This window comes from Homo sapiens, chromosome X, assembly GCF_000001405.40.
Source record: "Homo sapiens chromosome X, GRCh38.p14 Primary Assembly".
NCBI lineage: Eukaryota > Metazoa > Chordata > Mammalia > Primates > Hominidae > Homo > Homo sapiens.
Genome location: NC_000023.11, coordinates 127,746,326 through 127,748,293, shown reverse-complemented (window position 1 = coordinate 127,748,293; position 1,968 = coordinate 127,746,326).

Genomic DNA, 1,968 nt, shown 5'->3' with positions numbered 1-1,968 from the left:
TGCAGGTAACTGAAAGCATGGTAAGCGAAACCATGGATAAGGTGGGACTTCTGTGTAGCTTGTTCTTTCTTTATATATTGCTCAATCACTAAAAACTTACAGGTAAGAGGAAGTCTAAATCACTGCTTTTGTTGTTTATATTACTGAGTAATTATGCTACATGAATTTTCTTTTCAAAAATATAAAGGTCCCATGAGTTGCTAAAATAATTCTATATTTTGTCATCCAAAGCAGTACATTTTTATGTTTTTAATTTTTTAACTTATTATTGATTTATTTATTTTTAAAGAGAGAGTCTCACCTTGTCACCCAGTCTGGAGTGCAGTGGCATGATTAGGGCTGGCTGTGACTTCAAACTCCTAGGCTCAAGTGATCCTCCTCCCTCAGCCTCCCAAGTGGCTGGGATTACAGGCACCTAACATTATCCCCTATTTATTTATTTAGTTATATTTTGTAGAGTAACATTTCCCTAATACCCCACTTTTATCTTTTATCCCCCGGTAACTGGACTAGCGAAAAAAAAAAAAAGGATAACTGTAACCCAACTAGACTTAACACACATATATATAGAACACTTACCCAACAACTGAACACACATTCTTCTCAAGTGCACATAGACATTCTCCAGGATAGATATTATTTTACTCTCTGTTTCTAGGATATGAGTTGGACATTTACAGAGTCCACCTTTAGGAGCTCTGGCAGGCTGGGCGCGGTGGCTCATCCCTGTAACCCCAGCATTTTGGAAGGCTGAGGCGGGTGGATCACCTGAGGTCAGGAGTTCGAGGCCAGCCTGGCCAACATGGTGAAACCCCGTCTCTACTAAAAATACAAAAATTAGCTGGGCGTGATGGTTGGCGCCTGTAATCCCAGCTACTTGGGAGGCTGAGGCAGGAGAATCACTTGAACCTAGGAGGTGGAAATTGCAGTGAGCCGAGATTGCACCACTGTACTCCAGTCTGGGCGACAGAGCTAGACTCCATCTCAAACGAAAAAAAGGAAGCTCTCAGGCAGTACTTGTCTTTCTGTGACAGGCTTATCTCACTTGGCATTATGTCTTCTGGGTTCATCCGTCTTGTTGCAAATGATAGAATTCCCTTTATTCTTAAGGCAAAATAGTATTCAATTGTGTATGTATGTCAAATATTTTATACATTCAACTAATTAAATCAGTATATTGAAGAGATAGATGCACTCCCATGTTCACTGCAGCACTATTCACAATAGCCAAGAGGTAGAATCAATCTAAGTTTTCATGGATGGACAAGTGGATAAAGAAAATGTGGCATATATACCCAATGGAATATTATTCAGTACAATTTAAATGCTTAAATACAGTAAACAGGTCTGATATGGACATAGATATTGGAGTTTTAAACTTGAAATGACCAAAAATATTTTAGTGGTCTTTGTCAAAGACATAAGTTGGTTTGGAGAGCTCCCTTCTTGCCAATATTCAAAATATATGTTGATTACTATTAGTTTATAAACGTTCCACGATTATTTAGTAATACTAAAGTATCTTTAGCTAAAAAGAATCTATTGTAATTGGCAAATGTATGTAGTTCCAAAAGATAAAAGGCCATTAAACAATTCAGCAATGTCATTAGATTCTCTCCCTTGGGCTTACTACATGTATAACGTTCACCACTATTTATCCATCACCTTAGCTACATAGAATCTACAAAGCATGCAAATTACCATCGAGAAGAGCAATTCTGACGTTTCTTTATTGTAATAGAGAGAACATAAGCAAATCACTTCAAAGAGTATTTCGAATTTTTTTATTGATAGTTGAATATTGACTTTTGAAAATAAAGAATACTAATAAGATGAACACATCTCTCCATTATTGTTTGCAAATAAACAATGAAACTAGTCTCTACATAAATAAATATACATAAGATTTTATTCATAGTTTGGGCTAAGAAATCAAAGAATGCCCCATTGAGTGCATTTTTAAGTAAA